General features: G+C 44.7%; 1 annotated feature.

The window, feature by feature from the left end:
• Window positions 2098-2655: an enhancer, noted in NCBI's record as "control region 3, which was negatively scoring by a predictive classifier". NCBI's record gives its function as "activates a minimal c-fos promoter by transgenic reporter assays in zebrafish embryonic heart {active_cell/tissue: heart(embryonic)}" and the evidence as "EXISTENCE:transgenic organism evidence [ECO:0001131][PMID:20075146]".

Below are 5318 nucleotides of genomic sequence, written 5' to 3' on the forward strand. Positions count from 1 at the left end.
CATCACAATCAGCATGTCTCACTGACGATTGATTGTCAGAGTCAATGGCAAAGTAAACTCCTCACTATATCCTTGACTCTATGGATTTTGCATTTGTCCTCCCTACCTCCCCAGACCCAAGACAAGTTGGAGGGAATGGAGTGGAAGACTAATCATTTAATTACAATCACAAGTCACTAAACAGTAAGCCACAGCTTCCTGCTGTCTAGCTGCTATTTCTGTAGAATTTGCTGTGAAATAGATGGAATTGTGTACTGACTTTTAAAAAGCATCTGATAAAAATACCATTCATTCAATTACATAAGGAGCCATAAGATAAGCTTGAAAATAGAGTTTATTAAATTTTTGAGGTGCGGTGGCTCATCCCTGTAATTCCGCTGCTTCGGGAGGCCAAGGCAAGAGGATCACTTGAGGCCAGGAGTTTGAGACCAGCCTGGGCAACATAGTAAGACCCTGTCTCTACCAAAAAATCAAAATAAAAAAGTGTGGTGGCGTGTGCCTGCAGTCCCAGCTACTCCAGAGGCTGAGGTGGGAGGATCACTTGAGCCTAGGAGTTCAAGGCTACAGTGAGCTGTGATCACACCACCACAGTCCAGCCTGGTGACAGAGCAAGACCCTGACTCTAAAGCAACAAACTTTTTTTTTTTTTAAGACGGAGTCTTGCTCTATCACCCAGGCTGGATTTGGGAGGCCAAGGTGGGCAGATCACCTGAGGTCAGGAGTTCAAGACAAGCCTGGCCAACATGGTGAAACCCTGTCTCTACTAAAAATACAAAATTAGCTGGGCATGGTGGTGCGTGCCTGTAATCTCAGCTACTTGGGAGGCTGAGGCTGGAGAATAGCTTGAACCCGGGAGGCAGAGGTTGTAATGAGTCAAGATCTCGCCACTGCTCTCCAGCCTGGGTGACAAGAGTGAAACTCTGTCTCAATAAATAAATAAGTAAAAATAAAAAATTAAGCAAAAAAAAAAAGAAAGAAAAAAAAGAAAAAAAAAGTTCTGGAATCCTGCCCCTGCTTTCAGAATTCTGGGGGAAAATGTTCTAGAAGGGTATTCCTGTACAACCTCCATAAAAATAGCCCTGCTCACATGTATGTAGCTCATTCATCCATGCATCACCTACATAATGAATGGAACCATGGCAGCTACTGTGAGACAGGCAGGTGTATAAACATACATTTATATGTGTACACATAAAATGACTCATCACATATATGTCCTTGCCTACTAGCTTATAATTCTTTTAGGGCAGATTCAATGTTGGTTTTATCTTTTTATATCTGTCTGGTTGTAGTTCAGTGCCTTGATCATGGTAAGTATTAAATTGATGTTTGTTGGCTGATGTCTGGTCTGCTGGGGTCGCAAATTTTCAAGATGCACGCAGAGGTAATGGGGTTGGACAAGTTTTGCTAAAACATATTCATCTTTTAAACGCATAAACTGTATTCTCTTCCAGAGCACATTTCCAACATCAAATATTGAAGACGTCTACACACTTGATTTTATTTTTTCCATGACAGATAGGCTCATTAGATGGGACACTTCAGGCCAAGAATGACATACGACTTCATAACATTCTCTGTCCGTGATGTTGTCATAAGCACTTAGCCCCAGTTCATTTAGCTTATATAGTACTGGCCGCCAACATCATCTGAGGTTACAATATTGTTCAGGCGTCTCACGTCATCACTTTCCATTCCCTCTAGCTCCGAGAGTCTCATTTTAGCCGTGGGGATCACGTGGCATGGCATGTCTATAATGTCACTTGTAGAGATACCGTTACCGGTTTGCCCCTACTGTCCAGTGACCCCACTCCAAAAGCAAGCATCACGCGCTGTGTGTGCGGTTCAGAATAAGAGGATCCAAGCAGAGGGCTTTGCCTGCAGTAAATGTTTCAGACAGATGTGAACAAGGCAGTTTCTCCGTGTTCACTGACAAATTTGGCCATAATACCCATGTCACTATAACGCACATCACATTTTCCTGAGAGTAAGTGATAATAGAATAAAAATCCCCGCTCTGAATATCAAGAGCTTCAATGATCCCACAAATCCCCCTGCAATTTTATCCAGACTGCCATCCCAGCAGTGGAAGCAGGGATTTTAGAAACCCATTTTTCTACCTAGGAACATCACTTTAGGACAATCATCTTTATTTCACTGCTATTCAGTTCCAGACCCATAAACATAAAGAGGGAAATACAGAAATAGAATCAGAAGGGCAGGGGAAGAAAAGAGTGGAACAAAATACTTTTTAAGAGCTGCATGGACTTAATGGAATTTCCTTTCTATATAATCCTCAGGATCATTAAAAATAGGTCCTGACTGCCTTTTTTTGGTCCTGCAAAAGTTCTAGGTCTTGTACCCCTTCTAACATAGGCACCAGGCTGACGGGTAGGAGTGCTTAGAGCCGGGGTCCCTCGCAGAGCAGCTGCACATTAGCTGGCATTTGCCAGTCCTCTGTGAGTCGGTTGCCAGGTTTCTAGAGTGTTAGAATAGTAAACAGTTGTTTCTCAGAAACAGAGAGAGGGTTATCCACAACCTCACATGCTAAATTTAAATTTAATAAAGCTCTTTCCTAACCATTGAGATCAGTGATTTTTAACCAGGGTGGGGGTGAGGAGAGATCTATCTCCAAGGAGTTTGGGGAAGGAACCAGCATGTGGAGTTCAAAAAAAGTCCCCGAGTGATTCTGTATCCCACCTCCAAATCCCAATGTCTCATCAGAGAGTCGCTGGCACAGAGCTGGGATGCTGACGGAGGCCCCTCCAGCTTTTTCTGCAATTTGCCCGCAGTGCTCCTGACATTTCCAAAAGGGAGCACTCAGGGAAGATCACACAGAGGAGATGTCAGAAGTCCTCGGCTGCCCTCCTTGATGTTGCCCTGTGAGCTTTCTCACAGCTATCAGGGGGCAGCTAAAGAGACAGAAGAGTCTAATGAGGATGAGGTGGGTATAATTAAATGTTGACAACAGTTGACGGAGAGTCTTAAGTTTGATCCTTGGAGCTGCGGGAGATTTAGAGTGGGAATTTGGATGTCATCAGTCGTGTCTTCTACAGTCCCTGAAGAGGCTGGGTATGGTAGGTCATGCCTGTAATCGCAGCAGTTTGGGAGCCAAGGCGGGTGGATCACCTGAGGTCAGGAGTTCGAGACCAGCCTGGCCAACATGAGAAAACCCTGTCTTTCCTCAAAATACAAAAAATTGGCCAGGTGTGGTGGTGGGTGCCTGTAATCCCAGCAGTTTGGGAGGCTGAGGTAGGAGAATTGCTTGAACCCGGAAGGCGGAGGTTGCAGTGAGCCTAGATTGGGTCATTGCACTTCAGCCTAGGCGACAGAGCAAGACTCTGTCTCAAAATCAAATCAAATCGAATCAAATCCCTGAAGAACAGGGATGGCTGCACAGACAAACAGCAATGAAGTATGGCAATGAAGGCTGAAGATGGAAGTAGATGCGTCCTTCCACACAATCCCCTGCTTTCATGTTATGAGCTTGGGAGGGAGGCTTCCTTTTTGCAAAAGTGGGAAAGCACAGATGTCATTTGTTTGAGCCATGACTGAAAAGACCCTTTGACCTTTGAAACCAAAATGTGTATAAGGGCTGGGTGTGGTGGCTCATACCTGTAATCCTAGCACTTTGGGAGGCTGAGGCAGGAGGATCGCTTGAGCTCGGGATCTCAAGACCAGCTTGAGCAACATAGTGAGAACCTGTCTCTACAAAAAATAAAATAAAATAAAATTAGCTGGATGTGGTGGCACACACCTGTAGTCCCAGATATTCAGGAGGTTGAGGTAGGAGGATAGCTTCAGCCAGGGAAGTCAAGGCTGCAACGAGCCGTGATCACGCCACTGCACTCCAGCCTGGGCAAAAGAGCAAGACTCTGTCTTCAAAAAAAAAAAATGTGTATAAGGAAACCAAAAACAAGCTGGTGTTTTAAAAATTGCTGGTAATTTTTTGTTTGGTAAGCCATAAAGAATTGCACATGCATAACTGTGGGGAAGACACTTTCCTAGTTCTGAAACTAACTCTTGAATTGGACATTTAGTTATGAAATTAAGGCTGGGTGCGGTGGCTCACGCCTGTAATCCCAGCACTTTGGGAGGCCGAGGCGGGTGGATCACAAGGTCAGGAGTTCGAGACCAGCATGGCCAATATGGTGAAACCCCGTATCTACTAAAAATACAAAATTAGCCGGGTGTGGTGGTGTATGCCTGTAGTCCCAGCTGCTCGGGAGGCTGAGGCAGGAGAATCGCTTGAACCTGGGAGGCGGAGGTTGCAGTGAGCCAAGATGGCACCACTGCACTCCAGCCTGGGTGACAGAGCAAGACTCCGTCTCAAAAAAAAAAAAAAAAAAAAAAAAAGAAATTAAAAGGGAAATCCCAAAATGGGAAATGGGGACCTGTGTGGCAGACATTCTTGGATGGCTTCCCAACAAATGGTCATATCTGTACTATAGGAGGTCTCAAAGTGGTCCTGAGGCCTTTTAGGTGGTTTCCAAGGTCAGAACCACTTTTATAATAATACTAAGACACTATTTGCCTTTGCCCCCTCATCCTGCCATGAGTCTACAGTTAAGTGTTCCTCATGCTACATGACATTCAGTAATAAAACAGATTGCAGGAGCAGACAGGAGAATCCAGGTTTCTTCCATTAAGACGGACAATAAAGAGATGTGCAAAAATGTAAAACAATGCTATGGTACCATTAATTTCTTTGGAAAATAGAGTTATGTTTCATAAAAATGCATTCTTTATGTGAAATGTATGTTCACATGTCATGCGTTTGTTGTTCATTTCAAATTAGTATACTAATTTTTAAATGCCCCAGTTTTAATTTCTAATATGGTAAACATTGATAGATATAATGCACATTAAAAAAAAAAACCTTTTATAGCTGGGTGCCGTGGCTCATGCCTGTAATCCCAGCACTTTGGGAGGCCAAGGCGGGCAGATCACCTGAGGTCAGGGGTTCGAGACCAGCCTGGCCAACATGGTGAAACCCCATCTCTACTAAAAACACAAAAATTAACTGGGCTTGGTGGTGGGCTCCCATAGTCCCAGCTGCTTGGGAGGCTGAGGCAGGAGAATCGCTTGAACCCTGGAGGTGGAGGTTGCAGTGAGCCGAGATCGTGCCACTGCATACCAGACAGAGTGGTACTCCATCTCAAAAAAAAAAAAAAAAAATTAGCCGGGCACGGTGGTGGGCGCCTGTAATCCCAGCTACTCAGGAGGTTGAGGCACGAGAATCACTTGAACCCAGGACACAGAGGTTGCAGTGAGCCGAGATCACACCATTGCACTCCAGCCTGGGCAACAAGAGTGAA

This window comes from Homo sapiens, chromosome 1 (assembly GCF_000001405.40).
Source record: "Homo sapiens chromosome 1, GRCh38.p14 Primary Assembly".
NCBI lineage: Eukaryota > Metazoa > Chordata > Mammalia > Primates > Hominidae > Homo > Homo sapiens.